The sequence below is a fragment of the Homo sapiens genome, chromosome 7 (assembly GCF_000001405.40).
Source record: "Homo sapiens chromosome 7, GRCh38.p14 Primary Assembly".
NCBI classification, from domain to species: domain Eukaryota; kingdom Metazoa; phylum Chordata; class Mammalia; order Primates; family Hominidae; genus Homo; species Homo sapiens.
The window spans coordinates 110,661,585-110,679,575 of NC_000007.14; the positions used below are offsets into that span (position 1 = coordinate 110,661,585).

A 17,991-nucleotide genomic window follows, 5' to 3' on the forward strand; every position below is an offset into this window, starting at 1 on the left:
TTTCTGCTCCCATTGCACCTATTCCATGCTCTATACCTACTGCGGAATTGTATGTTAACTCTTTGCCTCTTTACAGTTCCTCCTGCCCCCACCAGTCGACTATGAGAACCTTTGTTTTATCTACTTTGATTTTCCTGTCCTTAACACAGTGCCTAGGATTCATACATTGATTGGACAGGATTTTATTGTCAATTATGAGCAATCGTATGACCAAGTTGAGCAAGATAAACCCTGCTCTAGATTAGACTACTAGTTCACAGTCTAGTAGGGGAGAAAGTATGTACACGAATCATTAACATGCAGAGTGATACATTAATGAAGGTATATACCAGGTAGAGCAGTGACTTTGCCTGGGGATGTATTCCTGAGGAAGTAACTAGTCAGCTGAGCTGTTCAACAAGCATTAGGCATTAACTCTGCTGGTGATGTGCTGGATGGCTAGTGAATAGAAAATTGAATAGAAAGAGCATTTACCTTCCCTCCAAAGATATACAATCTTGAATGAATAGTTCGAGTAACAATGGCACGGGTAGTCAATAAGGTAGCAAGGCTGATAGCCAATGGGGTAAACTGTTAAAATATTGAACTCTTCTATACCAGTGGTAAATAGCAGTCACTACCAGCACCTGTCTATTTGTTCTTTACTCTACCTCCCCTCAGTACTCCCAATCCCCTCCTATATGACCCATAGACCCTCCTGTGTTCCAGCAAGTAAAGAGTCAATACCCTTATGTACTAAACATTTTACACATAATTCCAAGGGATGCACTTTGCCAAGAAAGAAAAAAATTACAAGCTTTGAAATAGCAGTATTTGGTAAACTGCAGTTAAAAGCCAGGGTATGAAGTTCGAGTTGGGGAAAAGAGAAAATGGAACTGAAGAATTGAGAAGGGCAATGAAGAGCCACAGAAAAATTTTAAGCAGATCTGTTTTAAAAAAAATTCTGTCCAACATTAGTATGTAAGTGCTCATTAATATTTGTTGAATATGATTATGCTAATAATAATTTACACAAACCTCTAACCAATGGGAGAAAAAGAAGCTTTCATAAACATGGACTTAGATGCAGGGAATTTATTCCATTATCCATACAAATTACAGACTCTATGATTCTACTGTAACTTTGCAATTGGTGATTTCAGTATTACAGACGTGAATACTGAGAAATAATTAGGGGAAGAAAATCAAACGTGGCTGATCTGGACTGTTTTTTCTTCTATTTCACTCAGAACTTTTAAACACATAGTATGACTAAATGCGGATAAAGGGGTTTACCCATCATTGTGAATAGGCATGAGATCACTCAGAAATGTTGGATTACAAAGGGCCAATAAGAAAGGCTTGACTGTATGCAAGTGTCGACAGAATGGGTTCTCCATTACTTTGATTCCTTATTTTCAGAAGAGATAAGAAATTCCTCATTAATGGATGTACTCAATGAGAATTAAATACTCAAAACAGGACCTTAGCAAATCATTGTTTTATTTTAACATCACTGTTTACTGTTCTTCCTAACTGGCAGTTACTCCTTTGTAGATAGTACAAATCACAATGTAATTCCCATCATTATGTGTATAATATGTGTTCCTTCTTGTTCTACCTTAACAGCAAGTGACAAATACATCATTTTTATTGAATATTAATTTTCAATTTATTTCAGCAGCAAGCACCAAAATCAAAACCCAACAATCAATATAATAAGTATATGTAACAAATAATCTGAAATTCAGCCCCATTAAGACATGTGGGTGCAATATTTTTATATTCCCAAAGGTCTGCATATTTTGGGGGCATTAAACAACAGGGAACTAAAATTTAACACAAAATCAGGTGCCATTTAATACTGTTTAACATTTGAAAATTATTTATTTAATAATACAGATCGTTTTAATGTGCTGTAAATATTTCTCGCACAGCATCATATTGTCAGAAGTTTTTCCCTTTTGGAGGCTTCTTTTTTCCATTCCTTTCCAGTAACTGGCCTCCCAATGCCAGCAACTCAGGTAGATTCATGCAGTCATTCCTCTTCTCTCTGTACTGGTAAGCGCTCTGGAGGAAGAACAGATTCCAATTTCTGCCAGCGCTCTGGGGGCCACAGGATATGTGTGGCATGGGCATGCAGAAGTCCTAGGGAAACCTTAATTCATGAGAAACAGAAAGAAAGCAATAAAGAGATCATTTTATAAGAATCATTATTAATAGCTTGAAAGCAGAATTTAATCCAGGTTTAACATCCCAGGGAGAAGTGATGATGAATAAAAAAAATAGTAAACACCTTTTGTAGCCATTGAAATACAAAGAAAAATACAGTAAGCACTTATATAGCATTTTTCTAGGTGCTATTGTATATAAACTCCTTTAATCCTCACAAAAACCATTTGAAGTAGGTTCTGTTAGTATTTCCCTTTTAGAAATGAGAAAGCAAAGCTCAAAGAGGTTAAAAAATTTGCCAAAATTCATACAGCTACCAAGCGGTTAGTCTGTGTTTAGAACCAAGCAGTTTGACTCGAGTCCACCATCTTAACCATTAGCCTCAAGAGCCTATTTGCATAGACCCAGGAAGCATAAATCTGGCGTATATTCTCAGAGTTTCCCGCAGAGTCATTGGTATCCTAGAGAGACTTTCTTTATGGAAAAATCACAGAGTCCTAAAAAATATATATATTTTGTGAAAAACATTGTCCCACCTACTAGATGAGCAGCAGGAGTTAGGTGTGAGACTGGGTGGGCTGTCTCCATGGAGAGTACACTGAGTAACACGGATCTAGTACTCATGGAGAGAGGTGGAAAACAAAGAGAAAGCAAACAAGGTGGGATGGGTAGCAAGGAAAAATAATAAAGTATACAGATCATGGCAGATGGTAAAGAATCCCCATCAGCAGAGGAGAGCAGAGATTGGCGAGGATGGAAGAGGAGGTGAGGGGGAGGACTTAAGGCTGAGCCCAAAGACAGGAAGGGAGCCCTTAAACATCTTAAATCTTAAAGACATCAATTTCGGTGAACAGGAGAACATAGCAAACTTGTTTAAAAGGCAGATCAGGGTCTTATCTTAAGAGATTACCCTTCAACAGGTCTGAAGGAGGGCCTGGAAATCTGTGTTTTTAAAAAAATTGTTGTTGTTATAGTTACTATCAGGTGATATTTTAATGGTATTTAGAAGCTTACAAAATACACTCATATTTAGCACATATTTACTGAGTGCCGGTTATAAAGTAATACTATATGTCCACTTTATTTACCATTTTATTTTCAAATGTTTTTCCTATAAACTGGACTTCCACAGAGATTAACATAAAACATTCCTTTCACTGAAGCTCTTCTATTTGCTATCACATGAATTCAGGAAATCTCTTCTATTTGCTATCGTATGTATTCAAAAAAATCACATTGTCTAGGGACTCGAAGACGGAACTGGATGTCAGGGAAGGCTTCCAAAAAGATAATCAAAAACACATTGTTTACACAGAAGAAGAAGAAGAAAAATCTTTTAACAACAACTTGAAATACAAACTAAATATTCACGAAGGGTAGCAAGAAGCCCTTGGGCTCAATAAAGGGTTCTTTTTTTTCTTCTACTTGTTATTTTGAAAATCAGACCTGTAAAAAATTTGAAAGTGTGGTACAAAAAACAGCTCCATCAAAAGTAAGCATTTACATTTTGCTGCATTCATTTTTTTCTCATTTTATGTGTATGTACATATATGAGACATGTACACAGCTACTTCTTCTAAACTGTTTGATAGTTGTTGACATCATGCTAAATTTATCCCTGAAAACTTCAACATATATCTCCTGAGAATGAAGACCGTTTCATATATGAACATGATACCATTATTATACACAAGATATTTAATGTAGATACAATATTACTTATTACATAGTTCATATTCAAAATTTTCCAATTGTCCCACTGATGTCTTCTATAGCCATTATTTTAAAAATTCAAGGTCTAATCAAGAGTCACATATTGCATTTGGTGGTCATTATTTTGCTTCGGTTTACATTTAATTTCTTTTAATCTGGAGTCCCAGCAAGCTGCCTTGTAAAATGTCATATATCTGGAATTGCTTGATTTTTTTTCCCTCATGACTAGAGTCAAGTTCCATCAAATCAGGAGGCACAAAATATCGGTGCATCTCATTGTTGTGATGCCAAGTTTGATCACTTAAGGCAATATTGACTAGATTTCTCCATCATAAATAAATCTTTTTCCTTCTGTAATTAATAACTGTGAGATATTTTGTAATAATGTAAATATCCTATATGCCAGCTATATTTCATCTAATTGTGTTAACATTCATTGATGATCCTGTCCGAATCACTTATTACATTAGGGATTACAAAAATAATGATTTTCCAAATCTATTCCTTCTTTTGCATTTATTAGTTGGCATTGTTCTCTTAAAAAAAAAGTGCTTTCCCTTTCACCCTAACTGCCTCTATTGTAATATCAAGAAGTCCTTTTTTTAAGTCAAAATCTGTGACTACTTTTTATTTATCCGTTTGATGCTCAAATGTCTTAAGTTTGGCCAGTGGGAGCTCTATGTGTCCTTTGGATACATCTCCATCAGTATTTTAGCGCTACCTTACTTTTTGGCACTATTAGTTGTTACAGGCTTACCTTGCACCTAATACCTGCTCCCCCTGAGATCAGACATTTCTTTAAAGTGCCTTGGTTTCTTGTTTGTTTGTTTGTTTGTTTGCTTTTGAGACAGAGTCTCACTCTGTCGCCCAGGCTGGAGTGCAGTGGCGCAATCTCAGCTCACTGCAAGCTCCACCTCCTGGGGTCACGCCATTCTCCTGCCTCAGCCTCCTGAGTAGCTGGGACTACAGGCGCCCGCCACCATGCCCGGCTAATTTTTTGTATTTTTAGTAGAGATGGGGTTTCACCATGTTGGCCAGGATGGTCTTGATCTCTTGACCTCGTGATCCACCAGCCTCAGCCTCCCAAAGTGCTGGGATTACAGGTGTGAGCCACCGTGCCTGGCCATTATTTAGAAACCAAGGTTTAGTACTAGGTGTGCTCAGTGCTCCTGGGGTGTCAATATTCTATGCCATTTCAGGGAATACACATAAAAAATCCAATACCAAAAAGTTCTCCCTCACCTTCCGCACTCCATATTTTATCTCCCTTCTTCCACAGTGATTACCCTGGCTCCCCACAACATTAACACATTTATTCATTTATACTTTCCTAAAATATACTCAAAATAGTTTCAAGGTGACTACACTACAACCATTACCAACAATAAATCTGCTGAGTACAAATTAAGATGTCTGTGTAATTATTTTAGTCCTTAAAATATATCTCAGTTTAAGGGTGTACTTGTAGGCCGGAGTGCAGTGGCATGATCTTGGCTCACTGCAAGGTCCGCCTCCCAGGTTCATGCCATTCTCCTGCCTCAGCCTCCTGAGTAGCTGGGACTACGGGCACCAGCCACCACGCCCAGCTAATTTTTTGTATTTTTAGTAGAGAGGGGTTTCACCGTGTTAGCCAAGATGGTCTCGATCTTCTGACCTAGTGATCCATCTGCCTTGGCCTCCCAAAGTGCTGGGATTACAGGCGTGAGCCACTGCGCCCGGCCTGGAATAAATTCTTTTTTTTCTCCCCAGTATAGTTATGTTACCATTTGATATAGAGGTAGGCTTATTTGTTTCTATTTATACTCAATTTTAGAGTTTGCTTTGATTACCCATTTTTGATTCCATTTTATTTTTGAATATATATAAATTTACATCATTCAAAAGTTAAGATTATTTTTTAAAGATGTGGTAGGCAGAATGATGCCGCCCCACCACCGTCCTGGCAAAAGATGTCCACATCTTAATTGCCAGAAGCTGTGAATATGTTAGAGAATAAAGAAGAATTAAGATGCTAACCAGTTGACCTTAAGATAACAAGAATATTCTCTATTATTTTATGGGCCTGAATGTAATCACAAGGGTCCTAAACAGTGAAAGCAGGAGGCAGAAGGGTCAGATTCAAAGAGATTTGAAAATGCAGTGCTGCTGGCTTTGAAGGTGCAGAAAAGGACCATGAGCCAAGGAATGCAGGCAGCCTCTCGAAGCCAGAGAAAGGAAGGAGATGAATTATCCTCTAGAACTTTCAGAAGGAATGCAGCCCTGCTGACATCTTAACTTTAGCCCAGTGAGACCCATATTGGACTTTTGACATCCAGAACTGTAAAATAGTATATTTGTGCTGTTGTAAGGAGATACATTTATGGGAATTTATTAGATCAGCAATAGGAAACTGAAACAAAAAGTATACAAAGAGAAATCCCATTCCCATCTTCCACCCCATCCGCAATAGGTAACTAATTTTATTAGTTTCTGGTTTGTTGTTTCTGTGTTTCCTTTTTGAAGCAGGAAAAAAGCAAATAAGGATACATACATATTCCTTTTTCCCTTTTAGACTTATACCAAAGGTAACATGCTATATTCTCTTGTGCACCTTGCTTTTACTCTCAACAATATATCCTGTAAGCTACCTCTATTACTTCATAGAAATGAAGTCTGTGTTTTTTTTTTAAAGTCTCCTCACCCCACCTAACCCTAGTGATTCTGCTGATTACTCAGTTGGGGAATCTAAATCTGTAGTTTCCACTTTGTTTCACGTCTGGAAAAGGTAAACCTAATCAACCTTAAAGAATCCCTTGAATGTATTCCAGAACATCCTAAAAAACCATTCCATCTATGTTAACTTCCAGGAAATACTTCCCTAGACCTAAGTGATCTGTCATATTGCAGTTTTTATCCAGTTTTGTTCTTATCTGAGCTCAGCAGAGTTGGAAAACAGCTGGTCTCCATCTCTTCTACAATAACCCTTTTTAAAATTTGATAGCTGCTACTCAGATGTACCTCAAGCCTTTATTTGCTCTTCAAGATGTTTAACTTTGTTTCATAAGGGTGATTTGCCAGTCTTCTAACTTGGCTGAACTCTTGCCAATATATCTGCTCGCTTGCTTAGCTTTGGACTCAGTTTTGGGCATAGTGATTCAATTTTTTTTAAATCAACACTCATTTTACCAAAACCAATCTTAGAATTCTTTTATTTTAAACATTTATTAAGGCTACTACTCTTGCTTCCTGAAAAAAATAATTCATCTTCACAATGATGAATGATGAGAATTCTATCAGATAACATCAATATTGCTTCAAAACATGGTATGGGAATGCAAAATTCAGGGTTTCTTTTTTTTAATATTGAGAATAATAGAGAGAGAGAGAGTGTCTGTTCATCCTCCATAGTGTCTTGTCATGGATCTTCATTTTTTAAAATTGATATGTCTATAGGCAGGCAAAGAGTATAGTGAATATAGAAAGATAAAAATCCAGAAATATATGAACTTTGTAAAAATTAAAAATTATCCTTCAGGTACAGTTTTGACTTGCATACTGGCTGTATTAGTTAGGTTCTCCAGAGAAACTGAACCAACAGTATGTGTGTGTGTGTGTGTGTGTGTGCGTGTGTGTGTGTGTGTGTGTGTGTGTGTGTGTGTGTGTATATGTATATATATATATAGAGAGAGAGAGAGAGAAAGAGAGATTTATCTTTAAGGAATTAGCACATGTGATTATGGAGGCTTGGCAAGTCCAAAATCTGACAAGGGAGGTCAGCCGACTGGAGACCCAGGAAAAAGTTGCAGTTCGTTGCAGTTCGAGTCCAAAGGCAGACTGCTGGTGAACCAGGAAGAGTCAATGTTGCAGGTGAGGTCTGAAGACGATCTGCTGGTGTGTTCCTTCTTACTCAGGGGAAGTCATCCTGTTGTTCTATTCAGGCCTTCAACTGATTGAAGAGGCTTACCCACATTACAGACAGTAATCTGCTTTACTGAAAGTCGATCAATTTAAATGTAAATCTCATTCAAAAGCACACTCAAAGAAACATCCGGAATAATGCTCGACCAAAGATCTGAGCACACTGGCACAGCCAAGCTGACACATAAAATTCACCATCACACTTGACATATACAATCCTCCTGCTCTTTGCTTACTCAGTGTTACACTCAGTGCTTACTCTATGGAGGGCAGTGTTCTGAATGACTTACACATACTGACTCATTTAATTCTTAAAATAAGCCATGGGGTAAGTACTGTTACTGCCTCTATTTCGTAGCCGAGGTAGTGTAGGTGCAGCAATGTATTTTTTGAGCTGAGACTCAAATGCATGAACTCTGGTTCTAGAAGCTTTCTATCAGGATCACCATATCATTCATCATCCAAATGAAACACTTCTGGCAGTCCAAGGGGGTGCTATTTTTATTAAGTCAGGATAATAAAAATAAATCAGGACTGTCCTTGACAAATAAGAATATAGTTGCCCTAATATAATTGCTTCTCAATACTGCTAGGTCCCACGTTCTTTCCTGAAAAAATAGACTCATCAATAAGTAAGTACACATTGTTATGTGCTAAATTGTGTTCCCTCAACTTTATATGTTGAAGTCTTAACTCCTAATACCTCAGAATGTGACTGTATTTGGATATGGAAACTTTAAAGGGATGATTAAGTTAAAATGAGGCCTGAAGGCAACCGGATTAGTGACCTTACGAGAAGAGGAGATTATGACACACAGAGAAACACCAGAAGCACATGTGCACACAGAGAAGTTCATGTGAGAACATAGCAAGAAGGTGGCATCAACAGCCAAGGAGGGGGACTATAGAAAAAAACCAAACATATACTGAACCCTTGATCTTGGACTTCTAGTTCCAGAATTGTCAGAAAATAAATTTCTGTTGTTTAAGCCACAATCTGCGGTATTTTGTTATGAGAGTCCTAGCAAGCTAATACACACATGAATTTAAAAAACGCTACGCAGCCGGGTGTGGTGGCTCAAGCCTGTAATCCCAGCACTTTGGGAGGCCGAGGTGGACAGATCACTTGAGGTCAGGAGTTCGAGACCAGCCTGGCCAACATGGCAAAACCCTGTCTCTACTAAAAATACAAAAATTAGCCAGATGCAGTGGCGCCTGCCTGTAATCCCAGCTACTCGCCAGGCTGAGGCAGAAGAATTGCTTGAACCCAGGAGTCAGAGGTTGCAGTGAGCTGAGATCATGCCACTGCACTCCAGCCTTGGTGACAGAGCAAGACTCCGTCTCAAAAAAAAAAAAAAACAAAAAAAACAAAAAAAACCCCTAAACAACACAGTGCTAGAAGTCAGGTCCATGAAATGTCCTAATACTGACTCCTCAAAATAGGGGAACAAAGAAATATGTTGAGAGAAAAACAAAACAATTTTTGCTTTGAAGAAAAAGAGAGAGATGCTAAAGTATAAATAACTCTTCCAATAGGTTAAATACTTTGAACAACCAACCTAACATCTTATTGGAACTTGATTCTCCCCTTTCCTTACTTATTTGTGTCCCATGTGTAACTGTGTCTCCTTCAATGGATTCACATTTTTCAGGTATAAGAAAGTTACTTTTACAGTAAATTTCAAAACACAATAGCAAAAGCATATTAAATGAACCCTGCAACCTTGAGCAGATCATTGCATTTTCAGTATCTATTGAATGTGAAGATAAGTTCACCTATGTGTCTTAATAGAACTCTTGTAATAACTTGCCCCTATGGTAGAGTGGGAGGGCACTGAGCCCACAGATTGGAAATTCATAATCTAGAATAGTAGTCACCAAACTGTTTTGATTATGCATCAGCAGAAAATTTGAGGATTCATCCCTATTATTTATGTTAAAATTACATATATGCTATTAACAATCCATAAAATCAAATGTTAATATGGCTTAGATTCTTATTTTAGATACAAATAGAAGTTCTAATTTTTTTTCTTGCCTCCCATGGATCATTGTATTCACTACTTGAATATTCCTGCTTCCCACTTTAGCAATCTCTGTTTTAGGAAACACCAAAATTACTGGCTGGAAAGTGATCCAGGATATCAGTCAATGGGTTTGTTTTGCCCACACAATGCCAACGAACCACATGGACTAAATTTGCACTGAATTGCCTGTCTTTGATTGAGTTGGCTCCACTGAGAAGTTATTTTGGCATCTGGTAGACACAGTCTTCATGAGCCCAGCCTTTCCTTCAGATGCCAGGGGGACAGATGTGTGTGGCTTTTGTTCCCTCCCCTCCCTTTCCACAAACCTATAGTCTACCTAACACTCTTTCATTTCTTGGCTTCAGGTAGTTTCACCCTCTCTTGAGGGAAAGGCTTGCAAGGACAAGATAAGGACAAGCAAATGCAAAAGAGCCTTGAGTTGGGATAGAGGAAAAAACACAGGAAAGAAAATCAGGAAGAACAAGACTGTTAGCGGGAGGAAAGACATTTTTTAAAAAGATGTTCAGGCACTTCTACCATGTGAGGGGCCCTCACCAGATGCTGAATTTGCTAGCCCCTTAATCTTGGATTTCCTAACCTCCAGAACTGTGAGCAATACATTTCTGTTTAGAAGCTGAAAAAAACAAAACAAAAACAAAAACAAAAAAAGATTTTCAGAACTTGTATTATTCCATTATCATGCTGCTAATAACTAATAAAGACATACCCAAGACTGGGTAATTTATAAAAGAAAGAGGTTTAATTGACTCACAGTTACTGTGAGGAAACTTACAATCATAGCAGAAGGGGAAGCAAACATGTCCTTCTTCACATGGTGGCAGCAAGCAGAAGTGCTGAGCAAAAGGGGGAAAAGCCCTTTATAAAACCATCAGATCTCATGAGACTCACGCACTATCACAACAAAAGCATGAGGGTGATTGACCCCATGATTCAATTACCTCCTACTAGGTCCCTCCCATGACATGTGGGGATTGTGGGAATTACAATTCAGGATGAGATTTAAGTGGGGACACAACCAAACCATATCATTCCACACCCAGCCCCTCCCAAATCTCATGTCCTCTCATTTCAAAACACAATCGTGTCTTTCCAACAGTCCCCCAAAGTCTTAACTCATTCCACCATTAACCCAAAAGTCTAAGTCCAAAGTCTCATCTGAGACAAGGCAAGTCCCTTCCGCCTATGAGCCTGTAAAATCATAAGCAAGTTAGTTACGTCCTAGATGCAATGAGGGTACAGGCATTGGGTAAATACACCCATTCCAATGGGAGAAACTGGACAATACAAAGGGACTACAGGCCCCATGCAAGTCTGAAATCCAGTAGGGTAGTCATTAAACCTTACAGTTCCAAAATGATTCTCCTTTGACTCCATGTCTCATATCCAGGTCACGCTGATGCAAGAGGTGAGCTCCAATGGCCTTGGGCAGCTCCGTCCCTGTGGCTTTGCAGGGAACACCTCCCCTTCTGGCTGCTTTCATGGGGTGGTGTTGAGTGTCTGCAGCTTTTCCAGGTGCACAATGCAAGCTGTCAGTGGATCTACCATTTTGGGGTCTGGAGGATGGTGGCCCTCTTCTCACAGTTCCACTAGGCAGTGCCCCAGTGGGGACTCTGTGTGAGGGCTCCAACCCCACATTTCCCTTCCACACTGCCCTAGCAGAGGCTCTTCATGAGAGCTCCCCATCTGCAGCAGACTCCTTCCTGGACATCCAGGCATTTCCATATATCCTCTGAAGTCTAGATGGAGGTTCCCAAACCTCAATTCTTGACTTCTATGCATCTGCAGGCCCAACCACATGGTAGCTGCCAAGGCTTGGGGCTTGTACCCTCCGAAGCAATGGTCTGAGCTGTACCTTGGCCCTTTTAGCCATGGCTGAATCCAAAGCATCTGGGACTCAGGGCACCATGTCCTGAGGCTGCTTAGAGCAGGTAGGTCCTGGGCCCAGCCCATGAAACCATTTTTCCCTCCTAGGCCTCCAGGCCTGTGATGGGAGGGGCTGCCATGATGGTCTCTGACATGCCCTGGAGACATTTTCCTCATTGTTTTGGCAATTAACACTGGGCTCCTCATTACTTATGCAAATTTCTGCAGCTGGGTTGAATTTTTCCCAAGAAAATGAGTTTTTCTTTTCTACTGCATCATCAGGCTGCAAATTCTCCAAACTTTCTACTCTGTTACCTCTTGAATGCTTTGCTGCTTAGAAATTTCTTCCGGCAGATATCCTAAATCATCTCTCTCACGTTTAAAGTTCCACAGATCTCTAGGGCAGGGGGAAAATGCCACCAGTCTCTTTGCTAAAGCATAACAAAAGTCATCTTTGCTCCAGTTCCCAACAAGTTCCTCATCTCCATCTGAGACCACCTCAGCCTAGATTTTATTGTCCATATCACTAACAGTATTTTGCTCAAAGCTATTAAACAAGTCTCTAGGAAGTTCCAAACTTCCCCATATCTTCCTGTCTTCTGAGCCCTCCAAGTCTCTAGGAAGTTCCAAACTTTCTCACACTTTCCTGTCTTTTTCTGATCCCTCCAAACTGTTCCAACCTTTGCCTGTTACCCAGTTCCAAAGTTGCTTCTACTTTTTGGGGTATCTTTAAGCAGAACCCCACTCCCAGTACCAACTTACTGTATTAGTCCATTCTCATGCTGCTAATAAAGACCTACTTGAGACTGTATTTACAAAGGATAGAGGTTTAATTGACTCACAGTTCAGCATGGCTGGAGAGGCCTCAGGAAACTTACAATCATGGCAGAAGGGGAAGCAAGCATGTCCTTCTCCACATGGCAGCAGCAAGGAGAAATGTCAAGCAAAAGGGGGAAAGCCCTTTATAAAACCACCAGATCCCATGAGAACTCAGTCACTATCATGAGAATAGCATGAGGGAAACTGCCTCCATGATTCAAATACCTCCCACCAGGTCCCTCCCATGACACATGGGGATTATGGGAACTATAATTCAAGATATGATTTGGGTGGGGACACAGCCAAACCATGTCAGAACTAGAGCCAGGGTCAGAAGATGATCAATGTCAGGTGTGAGGAATGAGGTGAAGCACAACACTTTTAAATCCATTTGATTAAAATATTTTGTAAGCAGGAGAAACAACCTGCACTTTTAGCAAATAAAATATTTTGATGAATTTTACTTAGCAGCGTAAGAAGAGAGAGAAATTTCCAAATAAACAAAGCAGCAGTCAGATGATATTTATTCTACAATATTAAATTACCTACAATTATGTTTGAAAGTCAAAACGAACTGAAACAATATCCAAAATTTGAAATGTTGTTCTAAAATAAGTACTGATTTCTCAATGCTTAAAGAAATGTCAGCTCTCCAATCTGATATCAAAGGTCCTTCACAGTCACATCCTTCCAAACTCATCTTCATGATTTCTCAGTACAAGTACTCTACTCTCAGGGCCTCTCCAGAGCACCTACAACAGGACATACCATATCTATCTGCCTGCTTCTGATTACTGTTGTCCTTCCAGTTTGTAATCCTCTTCCTTAGATCCCTGGATCTCTCTTGTAAGACCCAATTCAGTCCTGACTCTTCCACGGAGTCCCTCCCAGCCAGTCCAATTCATATCCATTTGTTCCTGACCAAGGAATCAAGGCCTGGTATAGGGTCTCCCCAATATCCAGTTCTACCCAATATAAAGATCAATATATTTGAGTTAAATATATTTTTTATAAAGTAGCACAACTCTTATTTTCTTGACCTCCCACCTTTGGATCCAGAGGATTACACAGCTATCATCCAGTGTTTTCTCTTAGAATGTATAAGGCTAGTGGTGAGTATAAGGCTAGTGAGGTATCATCAAAAGTGGTGACCCCTTTTGGACCATAACTTATCTGCCAGTGATCCCTACCTTCAGGTCCTTGTTTAAAGGGGAAACCAATGGTGCAGGCCCCAACTTAATTCAAATGAACAAAATGAGCACAGTAGTGGCTACATCCTTTGTCAGGCTCAAAAAAAAACAGGCTCAGTTCTCCCATAGTTTTTCTCCCCCCAAATGCAACCGTATTTCATCAAAGGCAGAACCCACTCCTCCTGGGCCTCTTACTGCAAGGTTGTCGCATCAGAAAACCAATTTTCTTCTCACTGGTTTAGTTATTTCTAAGTCTCCGTAATGAGATTTTGAAAACATTACTATTGGGTTAATAAATGTTTCTTGCTTAAAGGAACAAAGTTTAATAATATAGGAACCAAAACGTTTGTGTGGTTAGGTCAGCAATGACCAATACAAAGTAATTTACTTTCTTATCATAGTACTTACAGCTTTAAAATAAGTTTTAAATAAAACTTACAGTTTTAAAATAAATTTGGTTCCTCATCAAAATAAGATAATCACAAATGAAACTTTAAGAAATTCCCTAAGCATAGTGTGACCATGCAATCTATTACCCAAATTAGGACACTTAAGAGTGAAGGGGGTTATTAATAATTAAACTGGGACAGCAGGTGTAAACCAAGGTGGCTCTAGGATATATAGTCATCCTACTTATGTGTCATCCTATTATTTTGACAAGTGAACATTTATTGACTATTGTTATACTCTGAGGGCCTTACATATAAATAACCTCTCCTACTACTAAAATTAAACCTGCAGTATAGATATTACTAATTGCATTTTGCAAAAGAAAAAAATAAAGCTCAGAATTACTAAGTAACATGATGAAGGCTGTAAGGCTAGTAAATGATAGAAGCAAGATTTGAAATAGGCATGGTTCAAAATTCATGCTGCTCCCACCATAAGGTACTGTTTCTTCTGTGATGTTATGTAATAATTTATGTTTCCATCTCTATAGCAAGGGTCAGCAAACATTTCCTCTAAAGGATCAGACAGTAAATAGTTTAGGCTTACAGGCCATATGATCTCTGTTGCAACTATTCAACTCTGTACTTGCAGCACAAAACAGGCATGGACAATATGTTAGCGAATATAACATTTGTTCCAATGAAACTTGATTTACAAAAACAGGCAGCGAGCTGTATTTGGCCTGAGGGCCATTGTTCAGCAACCCCTGATCTATACTCTAGACCCTATAATGTCTCTGATTGGACAGGCAGAGGTTCTAGCTCACCTTTTCTATATTATAAATTAGCACGGTGTTTTGAACAAGATTGGGAACTACCTGTCAGCAATAAGCATTTACTGAATGAGTGAATTAAGGAGGAAAGCTTGTTTGGAAATGCTGTATTTTATTATCTGGGAATCAAGGAAATTCCTTAACCTACATTAATGGAAACATCTACAGTTCTTCAGAAAACAGTATTAAGTAACAGGAGGGTTTCCATAATCACTGATGATATACCACAATGGATTGACAGCAATCTATCCCTACAAAGAACTGTGAGACAGTCTCAAAAGTATTTTTAAAAGGTAGAATATGGAATTCCCTAGTACACTTCCTGGTACTGCACTGACAACATGCCCCAATTCTTTCTGGATTGGGTACCACAAAGGAGGATGTTGCCCTTATAATCACTGCTGAGACCAGATCTGTGAGTGCCAAAGAGAGAGCAAGGTCACTAACAAGAAGCACAGGACTTCACTTGCAGCTTCTACTGTGACGTCACGCATTCAACATGATGCAACAAGTGGAGGGATGTCTTGACAGTACAGAGACACTGCTTTCCTGATCCCACCTCTCTGGTAACCATTTTTTGCTCATGTCAATATTACACATGAACAATAACAACCATAATAAAGGCACAACTTTAAAAGCAATCTAAGAGACTAAGAAAAAGTGAGAAGAACAAAATGATTCCTTTAATAAATAGCATAACATTGAGATTTCTTGTGGATGCCAGCGAAACAGATGCATGGTTTAAGTAAATCAAACAGAATTAGAAATAAAGGCAGGTAAAACCAAATATCACATGGAAAAATGAGCAATTGCACTGTTAAAAATTATCAAAAAGATATTTTTTAAAAAGATTAAAGCATATAAATGATGCTCCCTACTTTATTTTTAAACATGTATTAACATATCCATATTTGAATTTTTTCACCAACATTTTTGGATACAGGAGACTAGGTTCGTACAGAGAACAGTATTAGCCTATTATCTACTTACACATTCCCACGATGCTTATCTACACAGCATACAGAACGGATAAACACAACTCCTAATAAAACAAAGGCATGCACACAGAATGCTTCCATTCCACGTAAGCACTGACTGATATGCACTCAAAGACAACCTGATAAGAGCAAAGCTTTGCTTGTTTAGGTGAATGAGGTATGTGAGCATCACGTGCCAAAGAACTATGCTGAAGGCAAACAAGAAGAGCCTCAAAACTCCTAAGATCTAAGCTTTGGTGAGGCAAAAAGGATAAAAGAAAAAAAAAATAGATAGAAAGCAATGGAGGAGTGGAGAAGGGAGGCTCTGGAAAAAAATGGATAGATAGGTTAGTACAGGGAGGAAGGAGCAGCAGATAAGCTAAAAGGCACAGAGTCAGGGGTGGCACAATGGGTGAGCTTTCTTTGTGGGAAATGAGCTACTGAGATTGCCCCCTCTGGTATCACCATCCTGTGAGACCCTAGCAGTAGTGATAGTTCTGGAAGCATGCTACTCTGCAGAAAGACCCAGCATCATTTTCTTCATCCTCCCTGAACTCACAAGAGTAATGGCCCTTGCACCTAGGAATATTTCCTGTAGACAAGAACTCTTTCCTTCCTGAAGATATAATACAGGTCCACAGTACCTTACTAGCAATTCTAAAATCGAAAGAGTTCCAAAAATATGAAGTTTTCTGTAACCCTCTGGTAGCAAAATCTGACCTGACCTGAGCTGCTATAAAATTGTAGTCTATTTATCCCACAGAGTATGCCAATTCATACTTCTGGCTGCAGAAATATTAATGTGCTTGATTCTAGAAGCTGCCCCAGTCTCTGCTGGGGGTATTATGTTACATATGGCATAGACATAGTTTAAATATGCTGTTTATAGATACTGATATCACCTTTCCAACAGCTAAAAAGTCTGAATTGTGTACTATAAGTTTCCTAGTTTCAGATGTGATATTAACATCTTTAAATATAAGAAAAGGTGAATATTTACCAAAGAGAATAAATGTAATCAGAGACATAGGCTCAATCCTAGGTGGCATTGGCACCCTACTAGATGCTGGAAATATACAGAAGGTAATGGACATGATCCCTGTCCCTTAGGACCTCATGATCTGGTGGGAAAGACAGATGTTTAAACAAAGTTTTGAACTACAACCTGGCATGCTAGACATACAAAGGAGCCAAGTACCCCGAGAGCAGAGGTTGTGGTCAAGCCTTGGAAAGGCTCCACTGAGCAGATTCATCAAAGTTAGCTCTAAAGGATGCTGCTGACTTCACTCTCCTAAGGGCAGATCTTCACCCATGATATCCCTTGCCAGATTTTTATCTAGAACATTCTCCTAATCTTTCATTAATTTCAAAGGTGAGATAATGTGATAGGTTGATACAATGCAATATTTTGCAATTTGAAAGCAAAGCCCTATGGTTTGGAAGAGATTCGAAATGAGACTCTCTCTTTCAAAGGCCTCATTCTAGGACAAGTGTTTTCCTTCATTACCAACAATTTTAACTTTAATCATTTCAAAGCAATTTTCCTGTTCAAGACTCAGCTTTAATCAGAATGCATTTTCAGGTCACTCCATAGCCTCTTCATGCTTCTCTCTAGATAACTACAGAATCATGCATAATCATTCTAGTCCCCCCAAGACACCCTCAGTAAGTTCAACATTTTATGCAAAAATAGATACAAAACAGGCCTCCGGGGGTATCTCCAGCTAATTTTCATGAATTAATTTCCCAGGATTGATGTTTATGCACCAGTCTCTTTACCACATAATCAAATCACTGGAGTTGAAGTGGTCTAACTCCTTATTTTGCAGCTTGATTAAGCAGGTGATGAAATACTTGAATATAATTTGGATAGTTAACAGCTCACACTATTCAACAATAATCCAAGGTGGATGGATGACATTACCAACCGATGTCTCATTGTTTGCTTGTTTTCCTTCTAGTAGCTGACGTCCCACATGTTATTTTTATGTTGGAGATAAAACAGTTCATATATATACATGAGTGGAGAGGTGTGAAAGGCTTTAATATTGATGATGTTGTTTTAAACCACATTTAGACCAACTGGGCAGGCAGCCACCGAGACAGACTAG

At 38.9% G+C, this 17,991-nt stretch overlaps 1 protein-coding gene across 12 annotated transcripts in view; it reads right to left on the reverse strand.

Moving 5' to 3' along the window:
* The window catches only part of IMMP2L (inner mitochondrial membrane peptidase subunit 2), an 899,849-nt gene continuing 882,917 nt past the window's right edge, over window positions 1,060-17,991 (reverse strand). For all 12 annotated transcript variants that reach the window (NM_001350963.2, NM_001244606.2, NM_001350961.2 and 9 more), the window contains one exon: window positions 1,060-2,137. In NM_001350963.2, the coding sequence (NP_001337892.1) occupies window positions 2,128-2,137 (10 nt within the window). In that variant the 3' untranslated portion in view covers window positions 1,060-2,127. The remainder of the gene's footprint in view (window positions 2,138-17,991) is intronic.